Below are 20884 nucleotides of genomic sequence, written 5' to 3'. Positions count from 1 at the left end.
ATTAACCTACACCATTGCACAAATGCAGTCTTTCTGTGTGGCTTTTAACTGCAGTCAAGTTGGACAGACTGAACGACATAGTTTAGATGTCTGTCCCCTCCAAATCTCATGTGGAAAGGCAGTCCCCAGTGTTGGATGTGAGGGCTAGTGTGAGGTATCTGAGTCATGAGGACATATCCCTCATGAATGGCTGGTGCCCTCCTTGTGGTAAGGAGTGAGTTCTTGCTCCGAGTTCAGGCATGATCTGGTTGTTTAAAAGAGTGTGGCACCTCCCCACTCTCTCTTGCTCCTGCTCTCGCCATGTGACCTGCCTGCTCCTTCTTGCCTTCTGCCATGATTGGAAGCTTCCTGAGGCCCTCACCAGGAGTAGATTCCGGCGCCATGCTTTGTATAGCCTGCAGAACTGTGAGGCAATTAGACAATTAAACCTCTTCTTTTTTTGTTGTTGTTGTTGTTTTTCGGTGGTGGTGGTTGGTTTTGAGACAGGCTCTCACTCTGTCACCCAGGCTGGAGTGCAGTGGCGCAATCTCGGCTCACTGCAGCCTCTGTCTCCTGGGTTCAAGAAATTCTTTTGCCTCAGCCTCCCCAACAGTTGGGACTACAGGCGCATGCCACCACATCCGGCTAATTTTTGTGTTTTTTGTTTTTTGTTTTTTTTTTTTTGAGACAGAGTCTCACTCTGTCGCCAGGCTGGAGTGCAGTGGTGCGATCTTGGCTCACTGCGAACTCCATCTCCCTGGTCCAAGCAATTCTCCTGCCTCAGTCTCCTGAGTAGCTGAGATCACAGGCACGTGCCACCATGCCCGGCTAATTTTTTGTATTTTTAGTAGAGACGGGGTTTCACCATGTTGGCCAGGATGGTCTCAATCTCTTGACCTTGTGATCTGCCCACCTCGGCTTCCCAAAGTGCTGGGATTACAGGCGTGAGCCACCACACCCGGCCTAATTTTTGTATTTTTAGTAGAGATGGGGTTTCACCATGTTGGCCAGGCTGGTCTTGAACTCCTGACCTCAAGTAATCTGCCCGCCTTGGCCTCTCAAAGTGCTGGGATTACAGGGATGAACCACCATGCCCAGCCTCCTTTGAGAAAAACATTGTATAAGCAGTAAGTATGTATGTATTTATTTCGGAGACAGGGTCTTGTTCTGTCATCCAGGCTGCAGTGCATCACGGCTCAATGTGGCCTAGACCAGTCACATTCAAGCAATCCTCCTGCCTCAGTCTCTTGAGGAGTTGTGACTACAGGCACATGCCACTACGCATGGCTAATTTTTTTATTTTTATTTTTGCAGAGACAGGGCCTCGCTATGTTGCTCAGGCTGGTACAAGCTCCTAGACTCAAGTGATCCTCCCACTTTGGCCTCCCAAAGTGCTGGGATTATAGGCGTGAGCCACTGCACCTGGCCATAAATTATCTTTAAAGAACTCACATGAATCATCAGATGAACCTGACAGTTAATAAAAAATGGTGAATATAAATTGGTTAATCAACACATGGAGAAAAAGTACAGTCTCAGTAATAAGAGTAAATATAAATAAACAGGGCCGGGCGCAGTGGCTCACGCCTGTAATCCCAGCACTTTGGGAGGCCGAGGCGGGCGGATCACGAGGTCGGGAGATCGAGACCATCCTAGCTAACACCGTGAAACCCTGTCTCTACTAAAAATACAAAAAATTAGCCGGGCATGGTGGCGGGCGCCTGTAGTCCCAGCTACTTGGGAGGCTGAGGCAGGAGAATGGCGTGAACCCGGGAGGCGGAGCTTGCAGTGAGCCGAGATTGCGCCACTGTACTCCAGCCTGGGCGACAGAGCGAGACTCCGTCTCAAAAAATAAATAAATAAATAAATAAATAAATAAATAAACAGGAATACCTTTTTTGCCTTTCATTTTAGGATTTTGTTTTTTGAAAAGAAAATACCCCATATTGGCTAGGACATGATAATGTGCCCACTATTCCTACATATTTCTGATAAGAATATAAATCCACACAACTCATTTGGAAAGGAATTTAAAAATATACATCAATATTCTCAAATGCATTCATATCCTTTGAACCAGAAATTGCAATTCTGAAAACCATCTTAAAGAACGTTCGCTATACGAAGACAGTTCTATGCATAAAGAAGTCCACTGCAGCAATATTCATAATCACACAAAAATGGAAATGTGTCTCCTTAAGGGGAAAGGTTGAGCAAATTACAGTATCTGCTTAACAGGATATATGATAGGTATGAAATGGGCTAAAAAGTAATCAGGCATGTATATAAAATTATAAGCATGACTGAATTTTAAAAATCAAATGTTCTAGACTTATGAAACAAGCTTATAAGAAAACATAAATTACTAAAATTCTAACACTGGGAATAAGGAGAAATGACTGTTGTTTTTCCATCTGCTTCAGATTTTCCACATTTTTCTTTAACATTTACGTATTTTTGTGTAACTTCCAAAATATAATGCTAAGACGACAACAGATCATGTTTTACTTTTACTTTTAATTAGGAACAAAAAAGCTACAAAGCAGGTAGTGAAAACTGAAAGCCAGTTTCCACCTTACGGTTTACCTTGTGTCTTCTGGGTCTGGTTGCCTGCTGAAGCAGGGTTAACATTAGGCTCCTGGCTCTGACCAAGGACTTTCTCATCCCTGCTGAAGATGATCTTTGGTAACTGGGTACCAGCTTCTGGTGGAGACTTTACTCTTACCCTACATTCAAATAAGACAGAAGGAAAAAAGGTCAAAGCAGTGCTCCTGGCCACTGAGCACGCTGCGTGTAGGCCCTGTGCCAAGCTCATGCAGTCCTTATCATGTTCTACAATGTAGATTCTATTATCCACATTCTACAGATACCAAAACTGAGGCTCAGAAACGTTAAATAACTTGCCCAAGGGCACCAAGCTAGGAAGTAGTTGGACGAGGATCCAGGTAGTCTCTCTTAAGCCTAAGATCTTAGTAACCACACAATTCTGAGGTACATCTTTCTCCTTAAGTATCGTTAAAATGCTCAGCAAATTGGTGCACAAGAGAAACGGACAAAATGTAAAACATCAGTAAGACTTTAAAGTGAAATCCAGGCCAGGCATGGTGGCTCACGCCTGTAATCTCAGCACTTTGGGAGGCTGAGGCGGGTGGATCACTTGAGGTCAGGAATTCAGGAACAGCCTGGCCAACATGGCAAAACCCTGTCTCTACTAAAATTACAAAAAAAAACTGGCCGGGTGTGTTGGCATGCACCTGTAATCCCAGCTACTTGGGAGGCTAAGGCAGGAGAATCGCTTGAACCTGGGAGGTGGAGGATGCAATGAGCCAAGATCGTGCCACTGCACTCCAGCCTGGGCCACAGAGCGAGACCCCGTCTCAAAAAATAAAGAAAGCAAGTGAAATCCAGGGAAGCACGAGAGGGCAGTGGCACTGTTAGTTGCCTCCTAATATCCATTTCCACCCTTCCCCCTTCTCATGAGACCCAATTTTGTTTACCCCATCCCACCCAGGAGGGGCCAGTGACAGTTCCCATGACTGAGTGGATGCCCAACCTAAGCTGGCACATTCAAGCACTTCTCATTCTACCTGGAGGAGGAGCCTGCTCTCTGTCCCTTGGCTGGATATGAATGATGGAGCAGAGCCACCTTGTGATGGCTGGGAAACCTGCCTGAGGAAGAAGCTAACACTCAGGATGGCAGAGCAGAAAGATGAAATGCACCAGAGTCCCTAACATCAGCAAGCCACCGCAGGCCTGTCTCTCGCCTGCCCCACTGCACATAGGTGAGGTAATCAATGTCTTCACTATTCACGCCAGAGTCTAAGTCAAGTCTTTTGTTGCTTGCTTCCAAAAGTAGACTGACCAATACAGGAGACTGTCAGATCAATCTTCTTAAATGAAAACAGAGGTTATCACGGAGAATATTTTAAAAGTTAGGGTCTACAATGGTTTTATGACAAAGCATTTTTTTTTTAGAAGCTTATTCATTAGTCTTCTTACCTCCAGTCTTGTTCATCTCAAATCCATCCTCTTCTGGGCTGCTAGGAGTCTACCTTACAGGCAAGTCTGAGCACATGATTCCTACCTTAAAGGCTCCCTCAGCAATTACAAAGTACGCAGTTGGAAGTATGCTGAACTTGAAAACACAAAGTCTGATAATTCATCAAAGTTCAACATTTTTTTTTTTTTTTTGAGACGGAGTCTCACTCTCTCACCCAGGCTGGAGTGCAGTGGCGCGATCTCGGCTCACCGCAAGCTCCGCCTCCTGGGTTCACACCATTCTCCTGTCTCAGCCTCCCGAATAGCTGGGACTACAGGCGCCCACCACCACGCCCGGCTAATTTTTTGTATTTTTAGTAGAGACGGGGTTTCACTGTTTTAGCCAGGATGGTCTCAATCTCCTGACCTCGTGATCCGTCCGCCTCGGCCTCCCAAAGGGCTGGGATTACAGGCATGAGCCACCATGCCCGGCCTCAACATTTTCAAAGAGGCTGAATTGTCAGAAATCCTCACCAACAATCTCATGAGGCAGATACCATCATCACGAAGTAGGTAAGGACACTGAGGCCCGGAGTCACAGGGCTGGTGAGTGGCAGAAGCCATTACGTGGACCCAGTCTTGTTTCCACTCTGCCTTTGCATAGACTATGCCCTCTGCCTGGAATGCTTTACTTATTCATCTGGTAAAAGGCTACTCACTAGAAAGCTGCTTGGGCCAACACTTATCTGAAGCCTCTCCTTCCTTTCTACAATTCATGAGTTCTTCCCTTCCACTTCTCTGTTTGGCGGTGATCATGTGTATTTCCGTTCTGTCTCTCCCATCAAGGACAGGACCTCTGTCTCCCTAGCCTTGTCTTGAATCTCCAGCACTCAGCACGGTCTCTGGCACATGGCAGACACCCAAGGAATGTTAGCATACTACTAAATTCTCCCCGACTCTACTCTAGGACTGAACTGAAGGAACTTTAGAATTACTTACTCACTTCTGGAGATGTCTAGGATTAAAAGGGTGACAGAGACAGACTGTTTCTTTAAAATACAGTAATTCACATCTTCATCCTGAGAAAGGAAGAGCCAATTGTACATCATCTTATTCATTCACACTAGAACAAGAACAGAGTTTTCAGGAACATAGCAAATACGTGGCTCAAACTCCATTCAAAATAGTAAACCGGTGGGCGTGGTGGCTCACGCCTGTAATCCCAGCACTTTGGGAGGCCGAGGTGGGTGGATCGTGAGGTCAGGAGATCGAGACCATCCTGGCCAACATGGTGAAACCACGTCTCTACTAAAAATACAAAAATTAGCCAGGTGTGGTGGCGGGCACCTGCAGTCCCAGCTACTCAGGAGGATGAGGCAGAAGAATCACTTGAACGAGGGAGGCGGAGGTTGCAGTGAGCCAAGATCACACCATTGCACTCCAGCCTCGGCAACAAGAGTGAGACTCTGTCTCAAAAAAAAAAACAAAAAACAAAAGTAAACCAACTGTGGGTTCTCAAAAATGCTTGGAAGTCAAAGCAGCCACTACCTCAAGAAATGGCGCTGTGGCCAGGCGTGGTGCTCACGCCTGCAGTCCTAGCACTCTGGGAGGCCACAGTGGGTGGATCCCTTGAGTCCAGGAGTTTGAGACATGGCCAACAAAATGTGAAACCCTGTCTCTACTAAAAATACAAAAATTAGGCAGGCGTGGTGGCACACGCTGGTAGTCCCAGCTACTCAGGGGACTGAGGCGGGAGGATCGCTTAAGCCTGGGAGGTCAAGGTTGCAGTGAGCTATGATTGTGCCACCGTACTCCAAAAAAAAAATGAAAATGGAACTGCAAGAAGTAGGGTGTTCCCGTTCAATGGCCTGGGCTCAGGTGAAGAGATGAATCAGGTCACACATTTAATACTCACCAGGTAAGAAGAAAAGCCATCATTCTTTGTACGGTCTAGGCTAAATCCAATCTAATGGGGAGTAAAAACAGTAGAAGTAAATATCTACACAATTGTCCATACTTTTCTTACTCAAAAAGCAGAAAAAGTGGTACTTCTAACGTGGTCTCCTCTGTTTTCTTAGCATTCATTTTGTAAGAAGGCAAAGTAAAATCACTCAAGCAAAGTCACTAATTACTAGAATTATTACAGAATTACATTTTAAGTGTTAAAAGTGAAATTATTTGATGCCTGATATATAATTTGCTACTCACATGCTTAATTATCTCCATATTCTGGTATTTTATATTTAAGCATTGGGGTTGGAAGGTGACTCTCACCTAAGCTAAAAGAGTAAACCCCTGGGCTGGGCGCAGTGGCTCACACCTGTAATCCCAGCACTTTGGGAGGCCAAGGCGGGTGGATCACGAGGTCAGGAATTCAAGACCAGCCTGGCCAAGTTGGTGAAACCCCGTCTCTACTAAAAATACAAAAATTAGACGGTCATGGTGGTGGGTGCCTGTAATCCCAGCTACTCGGGAGGCTGAGGCAGAGAACTGCTTGAACCCGGGAGGTGGAGGTTGCAGTGAGCTGAGATTGCGCCACCGCACTCCAGCCTGGGTGACAGAGCAAGACTCCATCTCAAAAAAAAAAAAAAAAGAGTAAACCCCTGGATCTCATTAAAAGGTACTTACAGTCACATCCTTGTCTTCAGGCTCATTCAGTGAGAGGCTACTGACATTCACCACCATGTACCCATCCTTGAAGAAGCCAAAGGTGTTCAGATGAACTTTATGCCTCACATCATCCTAAAGAGATTTGTAGTGGTGGAATTAGTCATATGGAAAAGTGCTTTTGATTATTTAACCTATTCATTTGCTTTAAAAAGTATGATATCAGGCTGGGCACGGTGGCTCAAGCCTGTAATCCCACCACTTTGGGAGACTGAGGCGGGTGGATCACCTGAGGTCAGGAGTTTGAGACCACACTGGCCAACATGGCGAAACCCTGTCTCTACTAAAAATACAAAAAGTTAGCCGGGCATGGTGGCGGGCACCTGTAATCCCAGCTACTTGGGAAGCTGAGCCAGCAGAATTGCTTGAACCTGGGAGGTGGAGGTTGCAGTGAGCCGAGATCATGCCACTGCACTCTAGCTTGGGTGACGGAGCAAGACTCTGTCTCAAAAAAAAAAAAAAAAAAAAAGGTAAAAGAAAAGAAGAGAAAAACTATGATATCTTATTTCTTGCTAGCCAGCCAATGTTTCCATATGCTCAGTAACATACACAGCTGTGGTAACATGTCTTTCTCCAAAAGCTGAAGACAACTCATCGGAAATCCAAAAGATATCAACAGTTTCTGCAGAAGGAAGTATTCAATGGATTCAAATTCACTCCAATGCATTGGTATGGGTTCTAGGGGCAAACTCAGTGGTTGGCTGAAATGTGAATTCCAGGGCAGGAGGAACCATGTTATCGTCATCCCCACATCCTTCCTGATAGTACAATGCCTGGCATCTAGTAGGCACTCAAAACATGCTGGGGGGTGGGGAGGAAGAAAAGGAGCGGCTGAAGCTGTTCCAAGAATACACTCATTTATATAAATCCTCTTATCAATTTGTGTGTACCTGGCTCCTCCCATTGGCAGGATAAAGAATGAAGCTAAGCTATAAGTCAATTATTTAAAAAGGTGAATTTTCACCTAAAAGTGATACAGTAGATGATGGGTTTTCAGGGAACAAAGCCTTATGCAAGAGGAATCCCAGGAATAGGAATTAGCGACATGGAGACAGAGTCTTTTGGATACAAGATAATCCTAAGGTTTGGTGAGACTGAATCACATGGGCAGACGCCTACCCCACCTGCTTGATGCTGTCTCAACATCCTGACTCCAATCTCAACTAAGTCAGTACACTGCAGGGCCAACAGAGCAATGGTGTCAGTGAACACTTCTAAAACTGGGCTTCCACAAACACACTTTATGTTGTGTAACAATTTTTATATTGAGATTTGGCTAAATTGCAACACCTTCCGTAAGTCTGCAATTTGATTCTTGGTGTGAAGGGTAACTTTTTATTTCTAGATTTGGGGTTTCCTGGACATCCCGGGTAGTCTAATGGCAAACACCAAAGGCCTGTGAGGACAGGCTGTGGAGCAGATCTTTGGCAGAAACAGCATAAACTAAATCCCCTCCTCTCCCCCACAGAACTACACCACACTGCACTATCACTAGCAGGATTTTCTTTCCTGCCCACTCTTGCATTCATAGCTTTTTGACAGCCCTAGATTATGGGCTGAGAAGCAGAGGGACACAGTTCCAACTCACCTCCCTGCTCAGGCCTAAGGCTATGGTCCCTGTTTCCCCTCAACATCTGTTAAAAACCCAGGACTCGGCCGGGCGTGGTGGCTCACGCCTGTAATCCCAGCACTTTGGGAGGCCGAGGCAGGAGGATCACTTGGGGTCAGGAGTTCGAGACCAGCCTGGCCAAAATGGGAAACCCTGTCTCTACTAAAAATACAAAAAAATTAGCCGGGCATTGTGGCACATGCCTGTAATCCCAGCTACTTGGGAGGCTGAGGCAGGAGAATCACTTGAACCCGGGAAGCAGAGGTTGCAGTGAGCCGAGATCGTGCCATGGCACTCCAGCCTGGGTGACACAGTGAGACTCTGTCTCAAAAACAACAACAACAAACAAACAAAACAAACAAAAAACCCAGGCCTCTGGGCTTCAAGTTTCTGCAACGTCACAGGGAAGCCCTGGCTTCCCTGTTCTTTCCCCAATGGAGTTTCAGCTCCTTCTTCCCTTTTTTGGGCCCCTGGGAATTTCCCTTATTTTCTTAGGAGCTTGGCTATGTGGTGAAAACATGTTTGCTGGATTTCCACTTCCTGGTGGGCTGGAGTGGCTTGCAGCAAACCAACATTCTCACAGAGAACAATTAGAAAAGCCAGATAAGATAACAGAGGTCATCTCCTGGAATCTACAAGAGTGGGTCAATGGTAAAAGCCAGAAAAGCTAAGGCTCCCAGCCTTTCTTGGAATTCTCTGAGAGAATTAAACCCACGGAAAATGTCTTCAGTATCTATTTTCTCAATTCTCTCAAGGACAGTATATGATGACTACCCTCCTAGAGGCACAGGAGACATTAACTCAACTACATAAATGGATGCCTTAGCACATTAGGGCTTCATTCTCTGGCAGAATCCTCAGTGGAGCAGGACTGCAGAGGGAGAGGATGAGGGAAAATGAACACACAATTTCTGCCACATAAAACAACGTATATGAATCACAGCCATATTCATGTAAAACAAACTGGAATGCAGGGGGAAATCATCTGTGGTGACGGAGGTGAAGACAGTGACCACTCTCAGGAGAAAGGGGCTTTCCTGGGACTTGAGGGAAGGTGAGGCTTAGGGTGCTTCTGGAGGGGCTTGGTAATGGTTCTGCCTCATTTCCTGCGGGCTGCATGAGTGTGTCTACGTTCTGGAAATGCGCTGAGTTGTTTGCTTATAATGAGTAATTTTTAGCCATGTATATTACATTTCAATAAAGTTTTAATTTTAAAAGTATGTCTTTTCTAATTGGTCCAGCATGAAGCTGCTTTGCAGCAGAATGGAAACCTGCTAGGCTTTCATTTATACTTAGGCCACCACAATACAGGTTTTCTTGTTGTTTTGTTTTTTTTTTCCAGAAAATGTTTCGATTGCAACCTGATAGCAGTTCCCCCCCCAACATAAATAGTACATTCCTTTTTTTTAAACCTTTGCATCATCATTTCATTTGATGATACAATGCCATGAAAAACAGGTTTTTGAAGACTATTTTAAACAATAAAAACAGCATCGGCTGGGCACGATGGCTCATGGCAGTAATCCCAGCACTTTGGGAGGCCAAAGCAGGCAGATCACCTGAGGTCAAGAGTTCGAGATCAAGGCCGGGCGCGGTGGCTCACACCTGTAATCCCGGCACTTTGGGAGGCCGAGGCAGGCAGATCACAAGGTCAGGAGATTGAGACCATCCTGGCTAACACGGTGAAACCTCATCTGTACTAAAAACACAAAAAATTAGCTGGGCGAGGTGGCACGCGCCTGTAGTCCCAGCTACTCGGGAGGCTGAGGCAGGAGAATGGCGTGAACCCCAGGGGGCGGAGCCTGCAGTGAGCCGAGATCACGCCACTGCACTCCAGCCTGGGCGACAGCGAGACTCCATCTCAAAAAAAAAAAAAAATTAAATAAATAAAAAAATAAATAAATAGAAAGAGTTCAAGATCAGCCTGGCCAACATGGTGAAACCCCATATCTACTAAATACAAAAATTAGCCAGGTGTGGTGGTGTGTGCCTGTAATCCCAGCTACTTGGTAGGCTGAGGCAGAAGTGCTTGAACCGAGGAGGCAGAGGCTGCAGGGAGCCGGGTTGTACCACTGCACTCCAGTCTGGGAAACAGAGCAAGACTGTCTCAAAAATAATAATAATAAGGCTGGATTACGCCTGTAATCCCAGCACTTTGGGAGGCCGCGGCGGACGGATCACCTGAGGTCAGGAGTTTGAGACCAGCCTGGCCAACATGGTGAAACCCCGTCTCTACTAAAAGTACAAAAATAAGCCAGGCTTGCTGGCAGGCATCTGTTAATCCCAGCTACTTGGGAGGCTGAGGCAGGAGAATCGCCTGAACCTGGGAGGCAGAGGTTGCAGTAAGCGGAGATTGCACCATTGCACTCCAGCCTGGGGGACAAGAGCAAGACTTTATCGCAAAAAACAAAACAAAACAAAAATAGTAATAATAATAATAATGATAATAACAACAGCATCACAACTCCCAGTTTTCAGAGTCTTCCAAGAACTAGGTTATGTGCCAAGGGCTTTACCTATGATTTCTGACCCTCGCTCAGCTCAGTGTGGTTAAGAGAAGCAGCCCCACGGTAGCGATGAAGACACCAGTTCAGAGGAGAAATGACTACCTGAGGCCAAGCAGACTATAGCTAATAAAGCTGGGGCTTCAAACTAGATCTGATATGAGAGCCATTTTCACATTATCATTTCCTAACAAGGGAAAGTAATCATGATACAACATTAAATGTAAAAAGCTATATTCAGTAACATTTGATAGAAAAAAAAAGGGTGAGGGGCCAGGCGAGGTGGCTCTCGCCTATAATCCCAACATTTTGGGAGACTGAGGCAGGCAGACTGCTTGAGCCCAGGAGTTTGAAACCACCCTAGGCAACAGAGAAACCCCATCTCTAGCAAAAAAAAAAAAAAAAATTAGCCAGTTGTGGTGGCATCCTAGCTATTCAGGAGGCTGAAGTGGGACGATTGCTTTAGCCCAGGATGTCGAGGCTGCAGTGGGCTGGGACTGCATCACTGCACTCCAGCCTGCGCCACAGAGTGTGACTCTGTCTCAAAAAAAAAAAAAAAAAAGAAAAAAAAAAAGTTAGGACTGGGCCTGGTGACTCTCATCTATAATCCCAACACTTTGGGAGGCTGAGGTGGGAGGGTCACTTGAGGACAGGAGTTCAAGACCAGCCTGGGCAACACAGAAAGACCCCCACCTCTACAAAACATTTTAAAATTTGGCCAGGCGTGGTGGCATGCAACTGTAGCCACAGCTACTGGGGATGCTGAGATGGAGGATCCCCTGAGCCCAGATGTTTGAGGCTACTGTGAGCTATGATTACACCACTGCACTCCAGCCTGGGAGACAAAGCAAGGCTATCTCCAAAAAAAAGAAAAAAAGAAAAAAAAATTGTTACCCACAATCCCACTGGCACTGACTTTTTTATACTTTCGTGAATTTCTTTCAAGTCTTTCATAAATAAGGGCAAATATATATCCTTTCAACTTTTTCTTTTTGGCTAGGCGCGGTGGCTCACGCCTGTAATCCCAGCACTTTGGGGGGTCAAGGCAGGTGGTTCACCTGAGGTCTGGAGTTTGAGGCCCTCCTGGCCAACATGGCGAAACCTCATCTCTACAAAAAATACAAAAAGTAGCCAAGCATGGTGACACATGCCTGTAATCCCAGCTACGTGGGAGGCTGAGGCAGGAGAATAACTTGAACCTGGGAGGCGGAGCTTATAGTGAGCCGAGATCACGCCACCGCACTCTAGCTTGGGCGAAAGAGCGAGACTCTGTCTCAAAATAAATAATAAATAAATAGCCAGGAGTAATAGCAGGTGCCTGTGATGCTAGCTACTCAGGAGGCTAATGCAGAAGGATCACTTGAGCCCCGTATTTTAAGGCCGGCCTGGGCAACATGGTGAAAACCCATCTCTACCAAAAAAAAAAAAAAAAAATTAGCCGGGTGTGGTGGTGCAAGCCTATGGTCCCAGCTACTCAAGAGGCTGAGGTGGGAGGACAGTTTGGGCCCACGAGGCCAAATGAGCCAAGATCATGCCACTGCACTCCAGCCTGGGCAACAGAGCAAGACCCTGTCTCAAAAAAATTTAAAAAAAAAAAAAAAAAAAAAAAAAAAGAGGCCAGGCACGGTGGCTTATGCCTGTAATCTCAGCACGATGGGAGGCCAAGGTGGGCAGATACCCTTAGGTCAGTTTGAGACCAGCCTGGCCAACATGATGAAACCCCATCTCTACTAAAAATACAAAAATTTGCCGGGTGTGGTGGTGCATGCCTGTAGTCCCAGCTACTAGAGAAGCTGAGGCAAGAGAATCGCTTGAACCCGGGAGGCAGAGTTTTCAGTGAGCTGAGATCGTGCCACTGCACTCCAGCATGGGTGACAGAGTGAGACTCTGTCTCAAAAAATAAATAAAATAAAAAGAAAGAAAGTACTGTTGCCAATAATATCTGTAGGACCTTCACCTAACCTGTTCCCCACCTCCATTTTAAGCTATCGTGTCATGTCAAATAAGATATGTATGGAAGTGACTTCGTAAACTATACCTCACTATAAAAGTCATAGAGGCATAGATATCTTGAGACTGAAGAAAGTACAAGCGAGGAGGATGTGACAAAGCAGCATGAGGATAACAATACCAGATACAAGCAATGGAGATACAGCTACCTTCTCCACTTCCACCCTATCATTTCCATTAGCACTGACACAGGCAATGGAGGTTCAGCTACATTCTCAAACTCCAGCCTATCATTTCCATTAGCACTGACACCGTGGTAAAGGGTGCCTGTTTCACCAAGGATTTCAGAGACTGCAAGCACTTGACCTTGTCTCCAGTACTACACTAAGAGCTTCATACATCACCTCAAGTTCTTACAACTCTATGAGGCAAGTAGCCTCAAACATGTCCATTTGGTAGATGAGGAAACAGAGGCTCAGAGTTAAAACTTGCATAAAATCATTAGGCTAGTAGATGGCAGGGCCAGTAACCTAACTCAGAATTAAGTCCCAAATCTATTTTTTTAACTACCACATACTTTTTACAACCAAATAAAAAGTATATCCTAGGGCAGGGCACGCTGGCTCACACCTGTAATCCCAGCACTTTGGGAGGCCGAGGCAGGCAGATCACTTGAGCTGAGGAGTTTGAGACCAGCCTGGGCAACATGGTGAAACCCCATCTCTGCCAAAAATACAAAAAATTAGCTGGGTGTGGCAGTGTGCACCTGTGGTCCCAGCTACTCAGAAGGCTGAGGATCACTTGAACCCATCCAGGAGGCGGAGGCTGCAGTGAGCCAAGATTGCGCCACAGCACTCCAGCCTGGGTGACAAAGCAAAACCTCGTCTCAAAAAAAATAAAAAAGAGGACATACTGTTTTGATGTATTTGCTCTTTTCTTCCTCACTTTAAAAACGGTTGTTTTATACTGACAGTTCTGCTATTTTAACTAAATGTCAGAACTTCTGCACCGACTTCATATTAAACTGCTTTCAGTCATAAAAAAAATAGAGTAATGATACCTCAATTTAGTTTTTCTTATAAACTGAATTTTAGAAAATAAGAAATACAGTAACACTTAACTGAGCTAGCTTCACCTCACCAACTGGGGGTCTACAGACTTATATTAACCCACATGTTATACATGGCTAACACAGTGTTTTGTTTTACTTTTGTTTTTAAATTTGAATCAGTTGCCAATGAATTCCGCGTAAAAACATGAATTTCCAGCTTCTCTTATTTAAAAAAAGAGAAGAAAAAAAAAGCCACAAGATCCAGAGCTTGTAGGCCACGTTCCAGTACAATAAGAACCCATTCTCTGGAGCAACGAGCAGGGGCCACTGTGGCAGGAGCCTGTGCTCTTCTGCTACCCCTTCCCCTGCGGTCTCACTGAGCCAGCCGACTTACAAAACCAAGCTGGCTTCTAACCGCATCTTGAATTTGTGACCACTGATCAAAACAAAAATCAGATCCAAAAGGTAAGCAAAAAGTACCTTCAGGCACCACAAGCAATTTCTCTACTAATACAGAAAAAAAAAAAAAAGAAAACAAGAATAAGACTACCAATCATGGCTGAGCTCGATGGCTCGCACCTGTAATCCCAGCACTTTGGGGGGCTGAGGTGGGAGGATCACTTGAAGTCAGAAGTTTGAGCCTGGCCAATATGGTGAAACCTCATCTCTACTGAAAATACAAAAATTAGCCAGGCGTGGTGGCGCCCGCTTGTAATCCCAGCTGCTTGGGAGGCTGGGGCAGGAGGATCACTTGGACTTGGGAGGCAAAGGTTGCAGTGAGCCAAGATTAGACCACTGCACTCCAGCCTGGATGACAGAGTGAGACTGTCTCAAAAAAAAAAAAGGGGGCGGTGGGGGGGGACTACCAGTCATTAGCTGCCTTCTATTAGTGGTAGGAGAAACTAACCTAAGAAGTTTAATATTATAATTCTTGGCTCATTGCACATACATAGCAATTCACAAATGGAATGGGGTCAAATTCACTCACATAACAAAAATCCACCAGCTAAGCACATGAAGTGAGAGAAGAACTACACAGAAGACTGAGCTGCTGGCAAACGGGCTGTCTTCTCAGACAGTCACTGAGGGCTTTAGGCACTGGAAGCTTACCCAGTGCAGGTAAAATGGAAGGTGCGCTAACCTGGGTTCAAACTCTGACTCCTCCACTTATTTAACCAGAGCTCCATTTTCTTAAGTTATAAAGCAGGGATAATAACATCTATCTCAAGGGGCTGCTACGAGGAGTCGAATAAAAAGCATCAAATATTTAGCACAGTCTCTGACTTATCACAGATGCTTTAATAACAAGCAGCTATTACTATCACTTAATATTTGGATTTTATAGGACACTTCATTTTCCCCAAATAAGCTCAAAACAGTTATCATTATTAGCTCAGTAGTCTCAACCTTTCTGCGTACACAGCACAGTCTCATTATACTAGAACTCTCTCTGCATACATAAGAGGGAAGAAAGATTTAAAAGGACACTAAATGTATCAACACTATCTCCCTCAGTGTCACATTCTCCCAGCTCTCTTCCTATTGTCCTTCCATCCAAGTCAGCTTGAGTAAGCTCTTGGCTGCCATAACCAAGCTCTTTTTTTTTTTTTGGAGACGGAGTCTCGCTCTGTCGCCCAGGCTGGAGTGCAGTGGCGCCATCTCGGCTCACTGCAAGCTCCGCCTCCTGGGTTCACGCCATTCTCCCGCCTCAGCCTCCCGAGTAGTTGGGACTACAGGCGCCCGCCACCACACCCGGCTAATTTTTTTGTATTTTTAGTAGAGACGGGGTTTCATCGTGTTAGCCAGGATGGTCTCGATCTCCTGACCTCGTGATCTGCCTGCCTCGGCCTCCCAAAGTGCTGGGATTACAGGCATGAGCCACCGCGCCCGGCCAAGCAAGCTCTTTTCTACACTCCCAAGACAAAGCCCAGTGTGCTGGGCTTGACCACACACTGCTGCGACAGTACACTGTCTCCTTTTCTACCTCACTGGGTCCACATGGCCAACTAAAAATTCTGGACAGACATGGCTAACCTACGGATGGACATGCGCCCAGTTGCAGCAAACATTAATTTTTCATACTGATCATAGTTTTGGAGGCATGCCTAGGAAAGGTTTGAGATTTACCAGAATGGAGCAGCTAATAATCAATGGGCCCGAGATGAGGCACAATCATCATCATCGTCGTCATCATCACCATCATCATCATCAATGCGCAATCATAATAATCAATGGGAACGAGATGAGGAAAATCCTCTTTTATTCTTTTTAAATTTATTTTTATTTTTATTTTTCTTGGGACAGAGTTTCACTCTTATTGCCCAGGCTGGAGTGCAGTGGCGCAATTTCAGCTCACTGCAACCTCTGCCTCCCGGGTTCAAGCGATTCTCCTGCCTCATCCTCCCAAGTAGCTGGGATTACAGGTGCACACCACCACACCCAGATAAATTTGTATTTTTAGTAGAGACAGGGTTTCACCATGTTGGCCAGGCTGGTCTTGAACTTCAGGTGATCCACCCGCCTTGGTCTCCCAAAATGCTGAGATTACAGGCATGAGTCACCAAGCCCGGCCAGGAAAATCCTTTTAATTTCCCAAAACTTTCCAGATACTTTTGGGGGGGAGTGAATAAATGCATCCCTCCCTACTCAGAATTCACAAAGCAGTATGTAAAGTGAGGCTGCAGCCAATGGATTAGGAAAGATCCACTGCATAAAGCTGGTGTAATCAGGTGGGTCCTGATCGACTGGCACCGATTCTACAGTATTTGTGCAAAGAAGGATTTGATTTACTTACTTACAAACATCACTTTTTTTTTTTTTTTTTTTTTTTGAGACAGGGTCTCACTCTGTCACCCAGGCTGGAGGGCAGGGGCACCATCTTGGTTCACTGCAACCTCCACCTCCTGGGTTCAAGTGATTCTCCTGCCTCAGCCTCCCAAGTAGCTGGGACTAGAGACACCTGCCACCACGCCGGGCTAATTTTTGCATTTTTTGGTAGAGATGGGGTTCCACCATACTGGCCAGGCTGGTCTTTAACTTTTGACCTCAAGTGAGGTGCCCGTTGCGGCCTCCCTAAGTGCTGGGATTACAGGCATGAGCCACCGCACCAGGCCTACAAACATCACTTAATGGGTTTTTATTTATTATTATTATGTTTTTGAGATGGAGTTTCACTCTTGTTGTCCAGGCTGGAGTGCAATGGTGCGATCTCGGCTCACTGTAACCTTTGCCTCCTGGGTTCAAGCGATTCTCCTGCCTCAGCCTCCCAAGAAGCTGGGGATCCACGCCCAGCTAATATTTTGTATTTTTAGTAGAGACGGGGTTTCACCATGTTGGCCAGGCTGGTCTCGAACTCCTGACCTCAGGTGATTGCCCACCTCGGCCTCCCAAAGTGCTGGGATTATAGGCATGAGCCACCGTGCCCGGCTGCGAATATCACTTAATGGCTAAACATGTTCTCTGAAAGTTATTACTCAAAAATAAAGTAATAACACGTTCCTATGAAGTTAGAGCTTTGGGGTGAGGTTATTGGTATATATTGCATTCTCTTTCTAAGGCTGCTGTAACAAATAGCCACACACTGGGTAGCTTACAACCACAGAAGTTTGTTCTCTCACAGTTCTGGAGGCTACAAGTCCAAAATCAAGGCGTCAGCAGGGCCACAGTCCCTCTAAAGGCTCTGGAGAAGAATCCTTCCTTGCCTCTTTCAAGCTCCTGGTGATTACCAGGATTCTTAACATTCTTGGTTTGCAGCTGCCTCACTCTAGGCTCTGCCTCCACCATCACATCGCCTTCTTCCCTCTGTGTGTGCCTCTGCGCCCTCTCCACTTGTTATAATGGCACCTGGCACACTGAAAATAGGGCCCACCCTAACCGCATATGACCTAATGTTAACTGCAAAGACACTATTCCAAATAAGGTTACATTCTGAGGTTCCAAGCAGACATGAACTTGTGGGGGCACTAGTCAACCCAACACATACAGATCCATCCTCTTACTCATTTACCCTGAAATGTCCTAGTGCCTAATTACATGACCCATATTTTTGTTATTCTGCAACTAAACAGATGTAGAAAGGGATAAAGAAAAGCTATTTTGGCCGGGCGCGGTGGCTCACGCCTGTAATCCCAGCACTTTGGGAGGCCGAGGCGGGTGGATCATGAGGTCAGGAGATCGAGACCATCCTGGCTAACAAGGTGAAACCCCGTCTCTACTAAAAAAAATACAAAAAATTAGCCGGGCGCGGTGGCGGGCGCCTGTAGTCCCAGCTACTCGGGAGGCTGAGGCAGGAGAATGGCGTGAACCCGGGAAGCGGAGCTTGCAGTGAGCCGAGATTGCGCCACTGCAGTCCGCAGTCCGGCCTGGGCGACAGAGCGAGACTCCGTCTCAAAAAAAAAAAAAAAAAAAAAAAGAAAAGCTATTTTATAGTTCAGATACAATTTCTTGACACCTACTTTTTATTAGTTACAAAAAGAATAAACCCTGGCTGGGCGCAGTGGCTCACACTTGTAATCCCAGCACTTTGTGAGGCCAAGGCCTCCCAAACCCTCCCTAACCTGAGGTCAGGAGTTCGAGACCCGTCTGGCCAGCATGGTGTAACCCCGTCTCTACTAAAAATACAAAAATTAGCTGGGCATGGTGCCGCATGCCTGTAGTCCCAGCTACTTGGGAGGCTGAGGCAAGAGATTCACTTGAATCTGGGAGATAGAGGCTGCAGTGAGCCGAGATCGTGCCACTGCATTCCAGCCTGGGTGACAGAGTATGACCCTCAAAAAAAAAAAAAAAAGAATAAACTCCATGAAGAAAAAAATCTATACAGTAGTAGTAAAGGGAAGCAATACAAAGGAAAAAGAAAAAAAAAGACAAAGCAATCACTGGAATTTCCCAGGGCTGTTTTATTAAGAAACCCCAGCAATCAAATATTTTATTATACTACACTGGTATTTTCAGAAGGAAGCACACTGGCATACATGCCACCAAACAGCAGTCACTAAAAAAGGCATGTTTGATGTGGAGTGTGGAAACTTGAATAAAGAAGAAAAACAAATAATAGGAAAAAATAATTAAAAACTGAAAAAAATTTTAAATAATTTAAAAAGCATGTTATAGCCGGGTACGGTGGCTCATGCCTGTAATCCCAGCACTTTGGGAGGCCAAGGCGGGCAGATCATGAGGTCAGGAGATTGAGACCATCCTGGCTAACACGGTGAAACCCTGTCTCTACTAAAAATACAAAAAATTTGCCGGATGTGGTGGCAAACGCCTGTAGTCCCAGCTACTCGGGAGGCTGAGGCAGGGGAATGGCATGAACCCGGGAAGTGGAGCTTGCAGTGAGCTGAGATCATGCCATTGCACTCCAGCCTGGGCGACAGAGCGAGACTCCGTCTCAAAAAAAAAAAAGCATGTTATATTTTTATGTATACACACATGCTAAAGAGCAGCTGCTTAATAGATATTCACACTTAAAAGAGATGAAACCCTGAAATGTCTGTTTAAAAAAGATCATTTACAGTGTACACTGAGGTTAGGAGTCATTCTAGTTCAAATACGCCAGACATTGGTATTAAAATAACCAAATCTTCCCTGTCTTATCCTCTCATAAAGAGTTCAGGACCAAGGTGGTAGGAGTGCTTGAGACCAGGAGTTCAAGACCAGCCTGGACAAAGTAGCAAGACCCCATCTCTACAAAATATCCACATAAAAAAATTAGTCAGATGTGGTGGTGTGCACCTGTAGTACTAGCTACTAGGCAGGCAGGCTGAGGCAGGAGGATCCCTTGAGCCCAAACGTTTGAGGCTGCAGTGAGCTATGATTGCACCACTGAGTTCTAGGCTGGGTGACAGAGTGAGACACTCTTATTTAAAAAAAAATAAAAGACGGATGGACAGACAAACGGAAGGAAGGAAGGAAGGAAGGAAGGAAGGAAGGAAGGAAGGCAGGCAGGCAGGCAGGCAGGCAGGCAGGAAGGCAGGAAGGCAGGCAGGCAGGCAGGCAGGCGAAAGAGCCACCATGCTATATCATAACTACCTGTCTATGGGCCTGTCTCATTTGTATATCTCTAGTGCCTAGCACATAGTAGGTATTTAATAAACGTTGAATGAATGAACTACTACTTAGATCAGTCTACTACTCAGTGCTATTATTATTATTATTATTATTATTATTATTATTATTATCATTTTCGAGACAGGGTCTTGCTCTTGTCACCCAGGCTGGAGTGCAATAGCGCAATCTCAGCTCACTGCAACCTCCGCCTCCCAGGTTCAAGCAATTCTCTTGCCGCAGCCTCCCGAGTAGCTGGGATTACAGGCATGCGCCACCACGCCGGCTAATTTTTTGTATTTTTAGTAGAGATGGGGTTTTACCATGTTGGCCAGGCTGGTCTCAAACCCGACCTCAGGTGATCTACCCGCCTTGGCCTCCTAAAGTGCTGGGATTACAGGTGTGAGCCACCGTACCCAGCCTCAGTGCTATTATTTTACATAATTTTATCTAATCCTCATAACTACCCTGTGGGAAAGCTACCATTATCCTTATTTTACAAAGTAGGAAACTAAGAATCCGAGTGGCACACGAACAATCAATCTCTTTCACTTCCTCTTCCAGACATAAGCTCTAACCTCATTTTGCCTTGGCTAATGCTTTTTTTTTTGAGACAGAGTCTCACCCTGTCACCCAGGCTGGAGTGCAGTGGTGCAATCTCGGCTCACTGGCCTCACTGGCCTACCAGGTTCAAGTGGTTCTCCTGCCTCAGCCTCCCGAGTAGCTGGGATTACAGGTGCCCATCACCATGCCCGGCTAATTTTTGTATTTTTAACAGAGAAAGTATTTCACCATGTTGGCCAAGCAGGTTTTGAACTCCTGACCTCAGGGGATCTGCCCACTTTGGCCTCTCAAAGTGCTGGGATTACAGGCGTGAGCCACCACGCCCGGCCTGCCCTGGCTAATTCTTACTCTTCCAGTCTCAGCTTTAATGTCACTTCTTCAGGAAACTACTTCCCTATGCCAAAAACCAGGGCAGGTTCCTCATCACGCAGAATAAAATCCACACATCCTACCATGGCCTCCAGGCTCATGTGTACCTCTCCCCTAGATCACTCTGCTCCAGCCATAGGGGCCTCCATAGACATGGGAACATGAAGATGC

General features: G+C 45.8%; 1 protein-coding gene across 6 annotated transcripts in view; it reads right to left on the bottom strand.

Annotated features, from left to right (window-relative positions):
- The window catches only part of GPR107 (G protein-coupled receptor 107), an 86259-nt gene that overhangs the window by 57830 nt on the left and 7545 nt on the right, over positions 1-20884 (bottom strand). For 5 of the 6 annotated variants that reach the window (XR_007061336.1, NM_001136557.2, NM_001136558.2 and 2 more), the window contains exons 2-5: positions 6586-6699; positions 5873-5923; positions 4957-5036; positions 2566-2705 (exon numbers count right to left, since the gene is read on the bottom strand). Coding sequence is in view for 4 of the 6 variants with exons in the window: in NM_001136557.2 (NP_001130029.1) it covers positions 2566-2705; positions 4957-5036; positions 5873-5923; positions 6586-6699 (385 nt within the window). In the remaining 2 variants the exon portion in view is untranslated. The remainder of the gene's footprint in view (positions 1-2565; positions 2706-4956; positions 5037-5872; positions 5924-6585; positions 6700-20884) is intronic. The other variant, NM_001287346.2, reaches the window with a different exon arrangement.

This window comes from Homo sapiens, chromosome 9 (genome assembly GCF_000001405.40).
Source record: "Homo sapiens chromosome 9, GRCh38.p14 Primary Assembly".
Classification (NCBI taxonomy): Eukaryota; Metazoa; Chordata; class Mammalia; order Primates; family Hominidae; genus Homo; species Homo sapiens.
This window is presented reverse-complemented; position numbering and strand designations above follow the sequence as displayed.